This window comes from Homo sapiens, chromosome 9 (assembly GCF_000001405.40).
Source record: "Homo sapiens chromosome 9, GRCh38.p14 Primary Assembly".
Taxonomy (NCBI): domain Eukaryota; kingdom Metazoa; phylum Chordata; class Mammalia; order Primates; family Hominidae; genus Homo; species Homo sapiens.
The window spans coordinates 34,536,531-34,555,709 of record NC_000009.12 but is presented as its reverse complement, the minus strand read 5'-3'; the positions used below and the strand labels follow the sequence as shown (position 1 = coordinate 34,555,709).

Sequence of the window (19,179 nt, the reverse complement as noted above, 5' to 3'; positions counted from 1 at the left end):
CCTGGTCCAGCATGTGAGTTTAGGCCCTGACTGGCATCAGGACTCCAAAGTCAGACCCAGCTTAGGGGTCAGCTTGAGGCTGTGAGTCGGAAGGTAGCCTGGCTGGGAACCAAGCAGTGGACAAGGGTCAGTATGGGGTCAGACTATGGTCTGGATCAAGCTACAATAGAGAGCTCTGGGGAACAGCCAGAGGTCTGGGGCAGACTTCGGGTTCTCTTGCTTTGAGGGCCCTGGGCCCATAGGGTCGTGGGCACTCTGTGTGACCCATGAGGCCTGTGGGCTAGGAGTGGGGTTGAGAGGGTGCTCCATGGGACAACCCAGGCTGGTTCCTGGGGGTCAACTTGTACCCCCACCTCATCTACCAGGCTCTAACTCCAGCTCCTCATGCCCCTATCCAGTCCGGCCTTTAAAGTGTGTAATTCGATTCCTGGGTGCCTGTCCCCCACAAAGCCTGCTCATGCACTCACATGTTCCCTGACAGAGTCCGGAGTCCCTCCCGCCTGGCCAGCTGCCCGCGCCTAATGCATTGCTAATAACCAGGGTCTAGTTTCACAAGCCCCCCTCCCCCGCTAACGAGCTACAGGCAGCAGCCCCGCGCGTCGCGGCGCACACGCCTTGCAGTGGACCTGGCACACCGCCCACCACACACACGGGAACATGCACACGCACGCGGCTCCCAGCGGGAACCGTACACCATACGTGTGTGCAACTAACATGCCGAGACCATGCGCAAAACTGACCCCCACACTGAGGTGGGAGAAGCAAAGTGTGCAGGCTCCGTGGCGAGAACATGCGTGGCCTGTAGTGCATCCTAGCCCCATTCTGTGACTCACTGGCACTGGGGTTGGTTAGATTTATGGTTCTTTTCAGCTGAAGTTTTGCTGTGAACAGAGTCTATTCTCCCCAGTCCTTGACCTTGGGGAGAGGCAGGTGTATGACTGGGAGGGGGCGAGAAGGGCAGAACAAAGAAAAACATCATTTGGATTTTCAGGAGGAAAATACAGATCAGGAATTGCAAAAGAATGGGCCCTGGGCAGGGGCTGTCTCAGCATGGACAAGAGGGAGGCAAGTACTGGGACCCAGCATGGGTTCCCTGCAGCTCCTGCGATGGCCTGGAGGGCGTGTCTGGCATCTGCTCCAGCAGACCACGGAGGACTCCCAGGGGAGGCCAATGTCAGTGACTAGGGAGTTCCTGCCAATTGAGAAGCCTTTCTCTTGAGAGGCAGGATGAAGGGATCACTGATAACCTAGCAAGAAGGATCCTGGTCTAGGATATGTGGCCCCGAGGAGAGCACTGACCTCCTGGGGGCCACATTCCTGGAGGTATGGTGCCCACCATAAGCCCACAATGAGGTGGCAATTTGATCTGTTCCCCGTGGCTCCCTCCCTGTGGGGAGAGACTGACGTGGAGATCTGCGGTCTAATCCTGGCAGGAGGGAGACAGAGCCGAAGGAGCCGTGGCTACTCAGCCAGAGGGTATCTTTGCCGAGCAGAAAGGGACTGGGGTGCCAGAGGTGGAACTGGGACCCTGGCTCCAGGAGAAGAGGGTCTTTGGGACCCTCCGATCTTCCAGGGCTGAGATTAGGATTTACTGAGCCCAGGGTCTGGGCCCAAAAGGTGTCTCACCATGACCCTGACCTTTACCACCGTATCAGGGCCACAGGCTGAGCAGGAACTGGAGGGGCTTCCTGCCCCGCTTGGACCCACCGCACATGCCCAGACACATACACACACGTGTGCATGCACTCACAGCCTGTCAGGTCAGATAGCCCAGACCCCAGTTTTCTCGGGGGAAGGTTGGAACAGGGACCAAAAAAGCCCTGAAGCCAGACGTGGCCCAGAGCGGCCCCCTCCTCCGCCCCTGCCGGCTGCCCCTGTTTACGAGGCGGCTTAATGAGGCAGCGGGTGCCACTGAGATGAACCAGAGCCCAGCCTGGGCCTGGAAGGGGCGCCGGACAGGCAGGCTGGCCTGGAGGGTTGGGGGAGACCAGCAGGATGGGGCCAGCGGGGCGAGAGTGGGGTGGCGATGCCTCCAGGAGGAAATGGAGCAGCTGTCCTGCGCCCTGCAGCTCCAGGGGCTGTCCCCCACCCCTTTCCGCCCCAGCAGGGTGATAACCACACTGAGGCCTTCCTAAGGGGAGGCTCAGCTGGGGCCAGGCTGGTAGGTGCCTTGGGCATCTGGGAACCCAGGCTCTGACCAGAAGCCATGGTAATGACAGTGCTAGCTGAAGTGTGTTTGATGCTGTCCTCATGCCTTGGTCCTCATTGTAACCCTAAGAGGTGGATACTCTCATGAATGCCGTTTTACAGATGAGGATGGCAAGGCATGAGGATGTTAAGTAACTTGGTCACCTCACTACTAAGGGATGGGGCCAAATTTGGAACTCAGGTAGCCTAGCTCCAGTCAGTGTGTCAACCTCCCCTCTCTGTGGCTTCCTGGTGGGAGAGGAGGACAGCATTACCATCTCCTCTCACCCCCTGCCCTTGCCACCTCCAGGCTGGGACTGTGGTCGGGATTCAGCCGGGCTAGGGGCTGTGAGAGAGCAGGGGCAACAGCAGAGTTGTAGGCACAGGGCAAAGACCTCCTTATTCTCCCCTGAGGTGTTTCTGGTCTCCTTAAAGATGTCATTACTCTCCTTCAGGGACAACTCCCCTCCTGTGGAGTCTCCTCCCTAAGATGTCCCCAGTCTCTGGCAAGAATATTCTCCATGTCCTCCTTCTCCTCAGGGAAGTCCTCACTGCCCCCAGAGCCCTTTACTCTCCTCTCCTCAGAGGCATGCTCACTTCCTCTGGAGGGACCTCACCCTCCTGGCCCCCAGGTGTGTCCTTACCCCCACCCCATGGTCTGGCTGCAGGTGGAGCTGTCCGACGGCACAGCACACACCATCACAGATGCCTACGCCGGGAAGGAGTACATTATCCAGGTGGCAGCCAAGGACAATGAGATTGGGACATGGAGTGACTGGAGCGTAGCCGCCCACGCTACGCCCTGGACTGAGGAACCGCGACACCTCACCACGGAGGCCCAGGCTGCGGGTGAGCTTGCTCCCGCCCCTACCTCCTGGCTTTGCTGTCCTGGAGGCCTGTGGTAGAACCTGTGGCCTGGTTCTACCCTGCTGCCTCCAGCCTCTGCTCCCGGGGGTAGCCACACTTCTGCCTGTCTGTCCAACTCCTGCCATTCCTGGTCCTTGCTATCTGGACATCCTTGGTAGGGGTCATTGGGTGGAGGGGTTATCTGTGAGCCTTGGGAAACAGGATCTGCCTGATGGGGGAGGCAGTACCAGTCTGATGCAGGAAGCAGAATGGTATGTCTCATGAGCCCCCAGATCTGGATGGGACCCAGCCCTGGCCTTGCCCTGAGTTTCCCCCATGTTCCCCAGAGACCACGACCAGCACCACCAGCTCCCTGGCACCCCCACCTACCACGAAGATCTGTGACCCTGGGGAGCTGGGCAGCGGCGGGGGACCCTCGGCACCCTTCTTGGTCAGCGTCCCCATCACTCTGGCCCTGGCTGCCGCTGCCGCCACTGCCAGCAGTCTCTTGATCTGGTAGGTTGAGTGAGGCTGGGTGGCAGAGGGAGCCTGAGGGAACCCCCACTCCAGCCCCCTCCCTGACAGGCCCCTGCCTGTCTCTACAGAGCCCGGCACCCCATGAGGACATGCAGAGCACCTGCAGAGGAGCAGGAGGCCGGAGCTGAGCCTGCAGACCCCGGTTTCTATTTTGCACACGGGCAGGAGGACCTTTTGCATTCTCTTCAGACACAATTTGTGGAGACCCCGGCGGGCCCGGGCCTGCCGCCCCCCAGCCCTGCCGCACCAAGCTGGCCCTCCTTCCTCCCTCAGGGGAGGTGGGCCATGCAGCTAACCCACCCACCAAAGACCCCCTCACCCTGGCCCCTTGGGCTGGACCCTCCAATGCCAGCGACTCCCAGGAGCCCTTGGGGGACGTGAGGGGAGCCTCTCACATCCGATTTCTCCTCCTGCCCCAGCCTCCTGTCTATCCCAGGGTCTCTGTTGCCACCATCAGATTATAAGCTCCTGATGCTGGGGGGGCCCAGCCATCCCCCTCCCCCCAGCACCCACAATTTTCAGTCCCCTCCCCTCTGCCCTGTTTTGTATACCCCTCCCCTGACCCTGCTCCTATCCCACAGTATTTAATGCCCTGTCAGTCCCTTCTAGTCTGACTCAATGGTAACTTGCTGTATTTGAATTTTTTATAGATGTATATACAGGGTGGGGGGAGTGGGCGGTTCTCATTAAACGTCACCATTTCATGAGTCCTTGGAACAGACCCACTTTGGGAGGGTACCCCTCTTCCAAGGACCCCACCCCATCCAGGGCTGGCGGAGGAAAGAAATTGTGGTTGGGGAAGGTGGGGAGAGGTGTTCAGCTTTCAGGCCAGTGTAGCTGGTAACAGTGTTGTCTACTTCTTGGGGGGTAGGGCTTTCCTGGAGCACAGAGTTGCTGCCAGGGAAAAACTGTGGGAAATAAGGGATCCCACGGGGGTATCCAGTCAGTCCTGGAGGCTGCCGAAGTCCTGGCTGGGGCAGAAGCCTTTCAAGGGTCACCTCTAGAACTGCCTTCCATGAGTGCTCAGGCCTGAGCCCAGTGCACAGGGCTAGGGATGATGGCAGAAGGGGAGGGGCAGGCTTCATCCTTGGGGCCAGGGGGTGTGCGTGATCCCTGCCATCCAAGAGATAGTCCAGGGGTGCTAGAAGGTCAGGCCTAGGGCTCAGCCAGGCCACAAGGGCTCAGAGCACAGAGTGTCCTGGGCCTAGGCAGGCAGGGGGGCTGCCTGAAGGAGGAGGCTGCTTGGAGTGTGACCAGGGACGGGACCTGGGCTTCAGGACTGGAATGACAGAGTACAAGGCTTACTCCCAGGGCTGGGTTATAGTCAGGACTCAGTGTGGAGCTGGAGAGGGTGGGGCTTTGGCTTTACAGGATGGTCAGTCTTTGGTCCAGCCTCAGATACTGCCCACACCCTTCCAGTCCCCAAACTGGGGCTCCGGGATCCCTCTGACTTCTCCTCAGAGGAGGACACTTGGCTGTCCCAGGCCTGCTTAGGTCCAGACCCCACTTATAGAAGCCGCCTTACTGAGCATAAGCAGGCATTTCTCAGCTGGGAATGCCCAGGGCTGGGGCCAGGTAGGCAGGCCATGTGACCTGGGGGCGGGGGTGAAAGGGGAGTTCGGAGCTCCAACCTGGGGAGCCAGGTTTTGGCCTTTCTCTGGGTTCCTGGAGTAAGAAGAGGTGGGTGGAGTCAAAGTCAGGTCCACACCCACACCCACCTGTGCACAGATGTGTCCTCCTGATACACTCCCCGTGGCAGGCACTGAGCACTACACCGCTACAGAGCCACCAGCCACCCTGATGCCATCACACACTTTCTCCCAGTTCAAACCCTTCACCTCCGACTAGGCTCCGGAAATGGATACCCCTTGCTGCGATCGCCAGGCCTCCTTGGGATCGTGCCCTGGGAGGGGGATTGGCAGTGCCTCAAGCACCGATGAGTCTGGCCTGGACAAGACACAGTCCCAGAGGTGGGGCCTGGTGAGGGGCTTCACAGTAAAATGGCCATCTCTTCTCCAGGTTAGAAGAGAGAGGAGTATTCTAGGTGGGAGACCCCTGAAAGCAAAGGCCTGGCGTCAAGGTGAAGCCTGTGGCTTTTCAAGCTGAACAGCCCCAGCTATGGAAGCACAGGGCTCTTCATTCACAGGAAGAGGCTCCCAGGATGGATATCCTGAGAGGTGGCTGTGGACCTGCTCTGTACCCTGAACCCTGAGTTCTGCCTGGGGGTCTGGTCCCTGTGAGGTGTGGCTCAGCCTGAACCTAGGCTCCAGGTCCAGCATGAGTAGAGATAACAGGGGGTCACCAACGGTCTCCCCCAGAACATTCCTGGGATGTGTCAGAACTTCTACCCTTCATCTTTGGGGTGGGTGGGATGAAGTGAGGAGTCTCTGGCCTGAGCTGCCTTTCTGCCTTGAGAGCCCTGGTCAGCCCTGACCTACCCACCGCCCACCGAGCTTGGGCATCAACAATCTGGCCTCCATTAGCAACATGGGAAAGCAATTACGTGGGGCCTCAGGAGGAAGGGGCAGAAGGAGGAGAGGGGGCCTGCCGGAGCTTCAGAGGCCAATGGAGGGGAGGACTGGGGCCTCTATCTCTCTGCCCCCAGCCCTAAGAGAGAACCTGCTCTGCCTCAAGCCCAGGGTGGCTGGAGGGGCAGCATCATTGCCTCTGACTAGACAACTGGCCTGGGCCTGCGGGTGGTCACCTTCCTTGTGGGTCTTGGGCCCTTGGCCTCACAGAGGCTGTTTGCCTTGGAGGGTCTCAGTTGCTGACTGTTGCCTCTCTATAGTACTGTCCCTTCACATCCAGTTCCCATGGTGGTTCTGGGGAGCCAGGCATAAGTGCAGACATCGGTCATTGGAGTTAAAACAGAATCTGGAGAATTAAAACAACCCTGAGGCGTGGGGGGAAGGGGAGGCTGGGATCCCAGACCCCAGGTGCATTGCACAGGGGCCCAGCCTTCCAGCCCCCTACTTCTCTTTGCTCCCCGACAATACACTGTGGCTGGGCCCCGCTCTGTGTCCTGGCCTATCAGCCCCCTGCCCACTTGATCTCTTCCAGTGTGGCTCTGCTCCATTCTTACAACTCTAGACCTGTCTCTGTGCACCCTGCCCCTCTCTTCTTGCTGAACCCATTCTCATTTCTATGTTGTTTGTCTCTTCTTTATTTATTTATTTTTTTTTTTTTTGAGACGGAGTCTCACTCTGTCTCCCAGGCTGGAGTGCAATGGTGAGATCTAGGCTCACTGCAACCGCTGCCTGCCAGGTTCAAGCGATTCTCCTGCCTCAGCCTCCCGGGTAGCTGGGTTACAGGCGCCCGCCACCATGCCCGGCTAATTTTTGTATTTTTAGTAGAGACGGGGTTTTGCCATGTTGGCCAGACTGGTCCAAACTCCTGACCTCAGGTGATCCGCCCACCTTGGCCTCCCAAAGTGCTGAGATTACAGGCGTGAGCCACTGTGCCCAGCCTATATTTATCTCTTTCTGTCCCATTCCTATCTCTGAATCTGTCTTTGTCCTGGTTCCTATCTGCATTTCTTTCTGTATGTCTCTGTTCCATCCCTGTCTCTCTGTATGTCTCCATCTTGTGTCTCTTCTCCTGTCTCTTCTTCCCTCGTTTCTATATTCATCCCTCTCCATGCTTGTCTTCGCATCTGTTCTTCCTTGTCTGTCTTCCCTTTTTCTGCCTTCTCCCTCTCCCTCTGTCTCTTGTGTCTCCATCCCCATCTCTGTCTCTGTTTCTCTCTACATCTCTGTCTCATGTGTCTCCATCCCCATTTCTGTGTCTCTCTGTATATATCTCTATCCATGCCTCCACCTCTGTCTCCCTCTTCCCTGACTCTATCAGTCCTTCTCTTTTTTGCCTCCCTCTGTGTTCCCACCCCTATCCAGACCCCCAGCCTGTGGCCGCAGCTTCTCTCCGGCCTGCGCCAGGGACTGTCCTGGCTTCTGCTGCCCCCTCTCGGCCGCCTGCCTGCCCTTCATTCCTGCTCCTAGGCTGGCAGCTCTCAGCACAGACATCCCACATCTGGTGCGTTCCCAGCAGCCAGCCAGGAAAGAGGGTGACACTAGGCAGGAATCCTTCCTGGGCAGCCTCCGGCCCTGAGAACTCCCCGGAGCCTGTGAGCTCGCTGCCTGTGTAGGAGGGAACTCCGAGAAAGTTCATTCTCACGTGGAGAGAACAGAATCCCCGGCTCCAGTCCCAGTCCTGCATCCTGCACCTGCCTGTCTTCAGGTCCTGAGGCCCACAGCCCAGAGCCACAGGACCCTGGGAAGGCGGTGCCTGCCTGGAGATGCAGGGCTAAGGTCCTGGGGGCAGGAGTGATTGGAATGTAATCTCCCTACCTTGCCTCTTCTCAGAGGAGGGGGAGAGGAAGGAGGTCTGAGGAAGGGCATCAGATGAAGCCAGTTTGGGGAGAGGCTGGAAGGGACCTGACAGTGCCACTCTGATGGGAAAGCCAATCTGAGGGTGAGTGGGTCTGAGAGGGCCCACGCGACAGGGTGAGCCTGAGCCAGAGCGGGTCTGGGACACGCATCAGAAGAGCTTTCGTTTGAAAGGGCCAGCCTGAGGGGTAAGCTGACCCAGGGGTGTCTGAAAGGGCCTGGTCTGGTGGGTCCAGTCTGAGGGGAGACTGAGCTGAAGGCACATGGATCCAAAGACTAGAACCGCCAACTAGTTCTAGTCTGCCTGAACTTTCCCAGTTTTAGCACTGAATATCTCAAGTCTCTGGAAACCCCTCAGTCCCAGGCAAACTGGGACGTCGATCACCCTGTTTGGGAAGGCCTTGCCTGACAGCACCAGTCTGAGTGGGGAGGCTGGTCTGAAGGACTTCTGAGGGGGGAGGGTGGTCTGGAGGACGTCTGAGCAAGGAGGCTGGTCTGGAGGATGTCTGATGGGGGGAGGCTGGTCTGGAGGATGTCCGATGGGGGAGACTGGTCTGGAGGATGTCTGAGGGGCCTGGTCTCATAGTTCCAGTTTGAGGGAAGAGCCTGTTCTAGGCCAGAAGGCAAGAAGGAGGTAGAAGGGGTCCTTCCAGAGGGGCAGTGGCTTGGGGAATGGCCACCAGGGGGCAGGACAGGTTCTCAGGAAATTCAGAAGCAACCGACCCAGAGAAGGAGCCGGACTGTGGGGCTGTGTGCAAAGTATGCCCACAACAGCATGTGTCACTGAGCCGTCACGTGCAAATGGCAGTGATGGTATGCAGCTGTGCACCATGTTTGTTTTACTGTGGCTAGGTGACCAGGGATGCATATGTGCTACATTCGTGTGTGATGGCGTGTGCCTGGTGTGGCCATGGCTGAGGCTTTACCTGCGGCTCTCAGGACGACAGCAGGAACACCTTGGGCATTACCAGGACAAGGGGGCACTGGGAGAGTAGCACTCAGAGGAAGGTCTCTGGGAGGGGCTGAGGATGGGGAGGAGAAATGGGAACCAGGCTTCCCTACTACACCTGCCCCGCCCACCATTAGTATCCCTGAGATTCCAGACCCAAGAGCTAAGTGCTTTGGTCATAGCAAGGGCAGCCCCTGCCTGGACCCTGCCTGCCCACCACTCCAGCCTCTCCCTGGCTTCTCCAGCTGGCACTCCTCCAGCTGGACTCCTCCTGCTCCCCAGTAATTGTTCCCATCCTCTCCTACATCCATGCCTTGGTTCATGCTGTGTTTCTGCCCAGATGCCCTCCTGAGAAGCATTTGAGTTCCCTCTGACTCTGTCTCCATGAAATGCTTCCTGCTTATTCCCTCTCTTCCTTGGACTGAAACCCACTGTGCGCTGAGGCCTAATTCTATGGGCCCTTGTCTCATCCCAGGAACTTGAAAGTGCTGGGGGCTGGGGCTGCCAGAGGGGCCGGTCCAAGGGGAGAGGTATGGACAAAGCAAGGTGGGGACCACTGAGTTAATGAGACAAAGTAACACCGTCACAGAAGCCCCCCACCCCACCTCCCTCTAATAAAATGAACACAAGCCAAAACAAACAAAAACAACAACGCTACTACAAACTCACTAAGTCCAAGCAAACAAGGAAATCCTTTTTATAAACCTTAAAATGTGACATGCAAAGAAACAACAGAAGATTCTGGTGCAGTGAGTGAGTAGTATGTCTCCTAACCCCATTCCCAAAAAGGTGAGTCCATGAAACACAATATCCTGTCATCTAAGAGAAGTGGACTACTGGGTGCGTAGGCAGGCTTAGGAAAAGTCTGGGAAAAAGCCTTTGTAAGGAGAAGACCTTGTGTTTCTCCATGAGACCTCAGTAGAAGCAAGGAGAGCTGCCATGGCTTGGTGTCTTCCAGGGGATGGGACAGGGGTTGGCGGGGACAAACCAGTGCCTACAGGAATGGGTTATGCCCCGCCCACCAGTTGGAACAAGATGTCTAACAGGGCCTCAGAGGAGGGACAGCACTTAGGCCCCATCAAGGGCAGCAGGCAGCCCTAGCCAGGCACCCTCAGGCCATAGACGTCACGGGGGCAGAGGTGGGCACAGTTTGAAAGCAACAGCCAGCGTGCAAACCATAGGCTCCAGGGGAGACAAATGGGCCCAGACAAGATGGGAAGGGGCTCCAGGGCCTGCACACCAGGGCAAGGAGAGGTCGGCTAAACATGGGCCATGGCAGAGAGGAGTAAGAGGAAAGGAAATGGCATGGCCTTTAGACACCAAGACCACGGTCAAAATGGAGGCAGGAAGGAGAGACGATGGAAGAAAGGAAAGGAGGAGGGAGAGAAAGAAGGAAGGGAGCAAGAAAGATGATGAAAAGAAAACAACAACCGATGAAGACCCCGATCTAGAAGAAAACACACCCAAAGGAATAAAAGCAGAGTCCTGGCAAATCTTTCCTTTTATAGAAGGCCTTTTTAATAGCATGAAATCAGGAGAACAAAGAACTCAGGCAAGATGATAAAACAATGAATTAGATGAAAGGGATATTAGAGAAGCAAGTAAAAGAGGACTGAAATCTTATTTTTAAAGATGTAATAAACTAGAAACAGAGAAACAATCAATATTAATATAATAGATATTAATAGGCTTTAACCATTAAATAGTGGTTAAAAATCAAAGTAATAGGAAAGGCTTGAGATATTAAGAGTAAATGTCGTGGGAAAAGATAAAGCTACTAAAGCAATTGGAGAGAAGGTAATAGGACAAAGACAAGCTACCATAAGCTCAACTATTAACAGCCCTAAAGTAGGGGTTCCAAAAATGGAACTTAAAATGATATTAAGGTACAAAATACAGAAATCTTCCCCTGAAATGAAAGAACTGAATATTCAGATTGAAAGGGGCATACTGTATACCAGAAAAGTTGACACAGAGTAATTGATATTAAGACACATTGATTTGGCTGGGTGAGGTGGCTCACATCTGTAATGCCACCACTTTGGGAGACTTAGGCGGGAGGATCACTTGAGCACAGGAGTTTGAGGCCAGCCTGGGCAACATAGTGAGACCCTTCCGTCTAAAAAAGAAAAAAGATACATTGGTTTAGTTACCAAACTTTGGGGCTAAAGTAAGAATACTTAAGGCACCTAGACAGAAGAAGCAAGTCATTTATTTACAAGGGGGGATATTCAGTCTGGTCTCAGATTTCTCCAAGGTAGCATTTGACAAGTGAAGACAATGAAGCAATATCTACAGAGTTCTGAGGGGAAAAAGTGTCACCCTAAACCGTAACCAACAGAGTGGGTGATCTCAATCATAAATTTGGGGGATGGTGTACTCATGAACCTTTCCAGAAAAGACAAAATCCATTCAGCCAAGAGATTAGTCAAGGTCAGGAGCTGAGGAAGGGAAATTCATGGTAAAGAACTGGTGGGGACATTAATTCCACGTAGGAATTAACCTTAATTCAATTTCAGCGAAGATGACACTGTGGGAATTTTCGTTGCAAAACACTGTAAATACAGTTGACCTTTGAACAACACGAGTTTGAACTGTGCAGGTCCACTTATTCACAGATTAAGTAAAATCAATAAAAGTTACACCAAGAGTGCCTGCCTCTCCTGCCTTCCTCTCCCTCTTCTGCCTCTGCCACCCCTGAGGCAGCAAGACCAACCCCTCCTTTTCCTCCTCCTCCTCAGCCTCCTCAACATGAAGACGAGGATGAAGACCTTTATGATGATCCACTTCCACTTAATGAATAGTAAATATTAATAAATTATTTCTTCCTTATCATTTTCTTAATATTTTCTTTTCTCTAGCTTTAAGAATACAGTATATAATATATATAACATAAAAAATATGTGCAAATCAATTGTTTATGTTATTAATAAGGCTTCTCGTCAACAGTGGGCTATTAGTAATGTCAGGGGAGTCGAAAGTTATATGCACAGTCTGGAATGGAGAGGTGAGGTAGCAAGGAAAGCAGAAGTACTAATCACATCTTCGTTCATAGCTAAGTCAATAAAGGGATAAAACTAGAATATAATGGTAAAATCCTACTCCAACCTCCTTTTCTTTTCTTTTTTTTTTTTTTTTTTTTTTTTTGAGGCAGGGTCTTGCTCTGTTGTTCTGGCTGGAGTGACATGGTGCTATCACAGCTCACTGCAGCCTCGACCTCCTGGTCTCAAGCAATCCTTCCACCTCAGCCTTCGAGTAGCTGGGACCACAGGCATGTGCCACCATGCCTGGCTAATTTTTAAATTTTTGTAAAGACAGGGTCTCTCCATGTTGCCCAGACTGGTCTCGAACTCCTGGGCTCAAGTGATCCTGCTGCCTAGGTCTCCTAAAGTGTTGGGATTACAGGCGTGAGCCACTGCGCCTGGCCCAATCTCTTAATTGAAATGGCTCTTGAGAGAGGTCTTTTAGGAATGACTACTCTTTTAAGGTGAAGAAATATTTCAGCTATTCCATTTTCGCTTCAGTTTCTTTTTTTCTCTATTAAACTCAAGTAAACGTACATTTTCTACTTTTGGTTAAAAAAATAGTTTCTTTTTCTTTTTTTTTTTTTTTGAGACAGAGTCTCACTCTGTCGCCCAGGCTGGAGTGCAGTGGCGTGATCTCGGCTCACTGCAAGCTCCGCCTCCTGGGTTCATGCCATTCTCCTGCCTCATCCTCCCGAGTAGCTGGGACAACAGGTGCCCGCCATCGCGCCCGGCTAATTTTTTTGTATTTTTAGTAGAGACAGGGTTTCACCGTGTTAGCCAGGATGGTCTCGATCTCCTGACCTCGTGATCCGCCCGCCTCGGCCTCCCAAAGTGCTGGGATTACAGTCGTGAGCCACTGCACCTGGCCTAAAAAAATAGTTTCTATAGTATATCCCATTAGGACTATGAGAACAGTCCCATTCTTAGATATTTTTTCTACCTGACTGGCTCTCTCTCTAACCTCTCTCCTCAATTTTATGTATTATGTATATGGTTACAAAACGTAATACTGATCATTTCTGGGTGGTGAGGTTTTGAGTGCTTTGTTGCATTTTTCTTTGTATTCTTTTGTCTATTTTAGAAAACATTTATCATTTATCTACCTGTCTGCCTGTCTAAGGCAAATCACTTAACTTCTATGAGCCTCCAATTCCTTATCTTCAGCCTGGTAATAACAAAATTGGAGGGCATTTTAAAGACTGTGAGATAATATGCCACTCCCCTCGTGGTAGGCTGAATAATGGCCCCCAAGATGTCCACATCCTAATTCCCAGAACCTGTGAATGTTACCTTATATGGCAAAAGAGACTTTGCAGATGTGGTCAAGGATCTTGAGAAGACTATCCTGGATTATCTGAGGTGTGGTGATATAATCGCAATGATTCCAACAGGAGAGAGGGAGGCAGGAGGAGTCAGGGAAGACAGCAGTGGAATGATGGAAGCAGAGACTGGAGTGCTGTGCTTTGAGGATGGAGTACTGGTCCACAAGCCAAGGAATGCAGGCAGCCATTAGATACTGAAAAGGCAAGGAAATGCATTCTCCTCTTGGAGCCTACAGAAGGAACCAGCTCTGCCAACACATTGACTTTAGCCCACAAAAACTGATTTCAGACCTCTGAACAGTCAATTGTAAGCAAATAAATCTGTGTAGTTTTTTGTTTTTCTGTTTTCGTTTTTGAGACTGAGTCTCTCTCTGTCACCCTGGCTGGAGTGCAGTGGCACGATCTCAGCTCACTGCAACCTCCGCCTCCCAGGTTCAAGCGATTCTCCTGACTCAGCCTCCCAAGTAGCTGGGACTACAGGTGCCCGGCTAATTTTTGTATTGAAGCCACTACATTTATGGTAATTTGTTACAGCAGCAAAAGGAAACGAATGTTTACACCTGTTTCCTTGGCCCAAGGTGACCTCCCCATCCATCCCCTTCATCCAGCCAACTCCTACATGTTCAACATTTCACTCACGTTTCCCTGACATCTGCCCTCCACTGCTGCCCAGAGTGGGGCTGGGCTGTGCATCCCCCAACGTGGCACATGCCAGTCTGTGTGATAGTTCCTCATGGACAGGTCTCTCTTCCTCCCCGGCTGTGCATATGTGAGGATAGGCCTGGGGCCCAACAGAGGACTCAGCTCAGTAACTGTTAATGCATAGATGAATCAAGGAGGGCTGGGCGAGAGGTTGGCGCCTGATAATTACCCAAGACCCTCCTTTCTTGGCGCTAGGATCTCTCCCTTCCCTATGTTTACCTGGCTTTCTCTCCCACCAGTCTGTCCTCCTCCATATACACACATTCTTCCAATCTCTAGAAAACTGATCTGTGTCTATCTCTGACTTCTCTGACTTCTTCCTTTAGTCATTGGTCTAGAACACATTTGTTGACACCTACTAGTGACTCTGGGTAGGCTTATCTTTGCGTGTGTGTGTGTGTGTGTGTGAAAGAAAGGGAGAGATGGAGGCCTGTGAATCTCTTCATGTGTTTTCCCGGCCATGTGGTATGTGTGTAGTTGGTGTAATCATGTGTGTTTCTGTGTGGATGTGTTTTTATGTGCAGGCCTGTGTCTGTGGGTAGGCTTGTCTGTACATACATCTTTGCTTGTATGTATGTGTCTCTGCTTTGTGGGTTGTATGTATGCATGTTTGTCAGTGTGTGTCTGCATATGCAGGGAAGGACACCTTTTGATTTCTGCCCTCAAGGGGCTGGACTGCCTGCTGCAGGAGCTGGTGTGCCAGGATGACTCACAAGGATGTTAACTGAGTTTTGCTCCAGTCACAATCTTCCCTTTCCTGTCTCGTGCAGAAGGTCTGGTCAGGCTTTTTTTTTTTTTCTCCTTGTCTCTTGTAGGGAGGATCTCAGGCCCAAAGCTGAAGTCAACCACAGCCATCTTCCTGACCCTGACCTTCTGGAAACCTAAACTTCTTGAGAGGACTATGCTAAGGCGAAGGGAGAGGAGGTGAAGCAATCCAGACCCCCCGACACACACACTAAAAGACTGAGTCTGTGGTTGCATGGGCAGGGGGGACCCACTAATACTCCCTAATTGTACCCCAGGAGTGGGAGCAGGGTGGGCTTAGGAAGGGAGGCTCCTGGACATTGATCTCCCAACAGGGGCATCTCAGCAGAGCCCATGGGGATCACAGCATAAAATACCCAGGCCCTCTGTAAGCTGGGGAAGATGGGGTGAGGAGAGGGCCCAATCATGACCTATCTACTCGCTCCAGGGACTAGAACCCTGAGGGAGGCATTTATATTTAGTTTTGTTTTACCATTTTAACCCCCTTTTTTTTTTTTTGAGACAGGGCCTCGCTCTGTTGCCCAGGATGGAGTGCAGTGGTGCAATCATGGCTCACTGCAGCCTCAACCTCCTGGACTCAAGCAATCCTCCCACCTCAGCCTCCTGAGTAGCTGGGACTACAGGCATGTGTTGGGAAAAAGGCTTATGGGGTGCCTGCATAGACTAGCCATAAAAATATGGGACAATAAGTTGTGGAAAGCCACAAAAGGCCTCTCAGAAGGAAAGCCTCCTAATTGCCATCATGTTGCCCTGCTCAGAGCAAGACACACTCTCTTATTTGTAAACACTGTTCAAGGAGAAAGACACTCCTTTGAAACACTGGAAGGTGAACAGATGTGCAGGCTCCTAGTTAAGCCACTCCCACTAGCTACTCTCTGATAAGTTAAAGATATGCTGTTTGAGCACAAAGGAGATTCATTTAAACCGCTATTACTATAGATTACGTCTATGACGCATAGCCTCCCTTTCACTGTTTCGCCCTGAACATCTGCTTCTCAGATCTAAGTGATCGTACTCAACAGTGTGGAGACCAGAGCACTGAGCCTTTTGCAGCCTCCATTTTGCAGCTGGCCCCCGGGGCTCCCCACCTTTCAACTCTTGTCTCTTCTCAATCCTTTGTCGCCACCAGACTTCAGGTACCCTACGGGTGGTGTTGAGGCTGGTCCCCAACAGGCATGCACCACCATGTCCGGCTGATTTTTAAATTTTCTGTAGAGATGGGGTCTCCCTGTGTTGCCTAGGCTGGTCTCAAACTCCTGGGCTCAAGCAATCCTCTTGCCTCGGCCTCCAAAAGTGCTGGGATTACAGGTGTGAGCCACCATGCCCAGCCACCATTTTAACCATTATTATGTGTGCAGTTCTATGGCATTAAACACATTCACGTTACTGCACAACCATATAGTTTTTATAAAATAGACATTACTGATTTTGCACACCTTAGCACGCCTACCACTGGGCAGTGTCACTAGAAAAACACATATGGGGAGTGGGGCTGAGACTGTGGAGAGGCAGAGGACATCCCCTGCCCATGCAGGGCAGAGCGGGAGGAAGGATGGGCAGGAAGACCCGCAATGGTGCAGGTGCTCCTGAGCTCAGGAGAGGGTTGGGTGGGCGCTGTGGCTACAGGGGAGGTGGAACCACACAGTCTGTGCTTTGAAAGCCAGGCTGAGGTTCAGGAGCTTTTGCTCAGAATCAGGGGTTCAGGGAGCTGGAGAGACCTGGTGAGCTTTGTGTGTTGGAAAGACTGCTCTGGGGGCTGTGCAGAGTAGGGCTAGGCGGGAAGAGAATGTGGGACCCATGGTGGCTGAGAAAATGAGCAGGCCTAAGGAAGGTTCTTTGAATGATAGGAAAGGCCTGAGAGCCAGCTCTTGCTGTGTCCGGACAGGAGAGGACTAGGCCCAGGGCAGGGAGAATGGGGCTTTTAGAGCACACAGTCGCCATGTCTTGATGAGTGAGTGGTTGGGAGGGAAGGGAAAAGGAAGAGTCTTGTACAGCTCCTGTTGACTGGGAGGCAGCAGGACTGTTTATTGAAACAGCATGGGAGGAGGACAGGCTTTGGGCAAGTGGAACAACTATGGCTCAGACATTCACTCACTTGCCTATAGTCATATACGAAGCAATGGACAGATGAGTTCAGATGCAGACATGTCAAGTGTAAGACCTCTTGGGAGAGGACACTGAATCAGCATAGCAGTTAAGAGAATGACTCTGGGGTCAGACAAACCTAGGCTCCTGTTGACCTTGGGACAAATTTACAAGTTTATTAATCTCTTTTTTTTTTTTTTTTTTTTTTCAGTTTCTCGCTCTGTCACCCAGGCTGGAGTGCAATGGTGCAATCTTGGCTCACGGCAACCTCCACTTCCTGGTTTGAAGTAATTCTCGTGCCTCAGCTTCCCAAGTAGCTGGGATTACAGGCGTGCGCCACCACCCCCAGCTAATTTTTTGTATTTTTAGTAGAGACGAGGTTTCATCATGTAGCCCAGGATGGTCTCAAACTCCTGAGCTCAGGCAATCCGCCCACCTCGGCCTCCCAAAGTGCTAGCATTACAGGCCTGAGCCATGGCGCCCAGCCTGATTAATCTCTTTAATGCTCAGTTTCCTTCAGTGGAAAATCTGATAATAGTAACTACCTCATAGGGTTGTTGTAAGGATTTTTATTTTTTATTTTATTTCATTTTTCAGACAGGGTCTCACTCTTAGCCAGGCTGGAGTGCAGTGAAATCTTGGCTCACTGCAACCTCCGCCTCCCAGACTCAAGGGATCCTCCCACCTCAGCCTCCCAAGTAGCTGGGACTACAAGTGTGTGCCATCACGCCTGGCTAATATTTGTATTTTTTGTAGAGACGGGATTTTGCCATGTTGCCCAGGCTGATCTCAAACTCCTGGGCTCAAGCTGCTCGCCTTGTCCTCCCACAGTGCTGGGATTACAGGCGTGAGCCACCATGCCCAGCCGTTGTAAGGATTTAATGTATATAAAGAAACTGGCGTGGTACCTGCCATGTTATAAACACTCCATGAATCTTAGTTCTTAATGACAATAGCAGCAGCCACAACAACAACGCATACCAGTCTGGGACTTGGGAGTAAGGTCTGGGTTAGTATGAAAGCATTGTCAGCACAAAAATGGGCACTGGCTGGGCACAGTGGCTCACACCTGTAGTCCCAGCACTTTGGGAGGCCGAGGCAGGCTGATAACTTGAGATCAGGAGTTTGAGACCAGCCTGGCCAACATGGTAAAACCCCGACTCTACTAAAAATACAAAAATTAGCCAGGGGTGGTGGTGCACGCCTGTAATCCCAGCTACTCGGGAGGCTGAGGCACAAGAATTGCTTGAACCTGGGAGGCAGAGGTTGCCGCCAAGGTGGAGGTTGAGCCCAGATCCCGCCACTGCACTCCAGCCTGGGCAACAGAGCGAGACTCCGTCTCAAATAAAAAAAAAAAAGAAAGAAAAAGAAAAAAGAAAAATGGGCATGGAAGCCACAGACACAGAGGTGCTCACTTGAGTTGTGAGGAGAAGAGGGTGGGGGCTGAGAGCACAGCCCACCAAAGAAGCCGAGGAGGGGCCCAAGAGGTAAGGGAGACAACAAGCTGGAGTTGAAGGCAGTGCAGCAAATTTCGGTTCTAATCCAGGCTCTATCACCTGCTGCCATGGGGCCTTAGAAAAACCCCTTGACCACCTTGAGCCTCAGTTTCCTCATCTGTCTCATGGACCCGTCTTGCATCCAGGTGAGGATTATCTATAATGAATGTAAAACCCCGACAGAGACTAGGTGCTTAATAAAGGAGTTGTTGTTTTAGGAGGAGGAATAAATGTTCCCAGAGAGAACAGCTTCATGGAGGACACGGGAAGACAGAGTTTCAAAAGAGGACCAACAGCCTCAAGGCTGCCAAGTAGTCAACATAGATCAGGACTAAAAGGTATTCACTGGAAGTGACAAGGAGGTGAAAGTGACCTTGGTGAGCCAGCTTCAGGGATGGTGAGAGCAGAAGGCAGGGGCAGCGGCTGGGGAGTGACGGGGGGTGGGAAAGTGGAGCTGAGACAACAGGTGGCGGCTAGGCAGGGACACTGAGTAGTAGGTGGGCAGGGAAGCGACAGGCAGGGTTTTGAGATGGGGAAATCGGAGCCTGTGGCAAGTCTGCCTGTCACTGGATGTAGCTGCTCTGTGCCCACCCTTCCCCCACTGCGGAGGACTGGCTCCAGCCTTGGGACCATTTGTTCTCCACACGATCCCAGGCCCCTGGGTGTGCCCTGGTCCCCAACCTGGCTCATCCAGTGCTGAGGACAGGCACCTCTTCTCTTTGCCCTACTTTCCAATGTGGCTTGGGAAAAAAGTTGAAATGGTTCACACCTTTAGCCTGGGCCTTATCTCCTGTTCCTGGCCCTTCCAGCCCAGGGGAGATGGGAGATAGCTAACAAAAATAGCTATCATCAATTATATCTTTTCTCATGATTCCATCCCAC

General features: G+C 52.6%; 1 protein-coding gene across 15 annotated transcripts in view, besides 3 other annotated features; it reads left to right on the top strand.

Moving 5' to 3' along the window:
- The window catches only part of CNTFR (ciliary neurotrophic factor receptor), a 39,420-nt gene extending 35,143 nt beyond the window's left edge, over nt 1–4,277 (top strand). For 14 of the 15 annotated variants that reach the window (XM_047422756.1, XM_047422755.1, XM_017014263.2 and 11 more), the window contains 3 exons: nt 2,856–3,036; nt 3,381–3,549; nt 3,639–4,277. In XM_047422756.1, the coding sequence (XP_047278712.1) occupies nt 2,856–3,036; nt 3,381–3,549; nt 3,639 (351 nt within the window). In that variant the 3' untranslated portion in view covers nt 3,640–4,277. Of the gene's footprint in view, nt 1–2,855; nt 3,037–3,380; nt 3,550–3,638 lie in introns of those variants that run through there. The other variant, XM_047422754.1, reaches the window with a different exon arrangement.
- Nucleotides 95–687: an enhancer, noted in NCBI's record as "H3K27ac-H3K4me1 hESC enhancer chr9:34555021-34555613 (GRCh37/hg19 assembly coordinates)". NCBI's record gives its function as "activates a minimal SCP1, AML or CMV promoter by ChIP-STARR-seq in primed H9 embryonic stem cells {active_cell/tissue: H9 hESC(primed)}" and the evidence as "EXISTENCE:reporter gene assay evidence [ECO:0000049][PMID:30033119]".
- Nucleotides 8,414–8,913: an enhancer, noted in NCBI's record as "H3K4me1 hESC enhancer chr9:34546795-34547294 (GRCh37/hg19 assembly coordinates)". NCBI's record gives its function as "activates a minimal SCP1, AML or CMV promoter by ChIP-STARR-seq in primed H9 embryonic stem cells {active_cell/tissue: H9 hESC(primed)}" and the evidence as "EXISTENCE:reporter gene assay evidence [ECO:0000049][PMID:30033119]".
- Nucleotides 8,739–8,818: a silencer, noted in NCBI's record as "silent region_19849". NCBI's record gives its function as "represses an Ori minimal core promoter by ATAC-STARR-seq in GM12878 lymphoblastoid cells {active_cell/tissue: GM12878}" and the evidence as "EXISTENCE:reporter gene assay evidence [ECO:0000049][PMID:35858748]".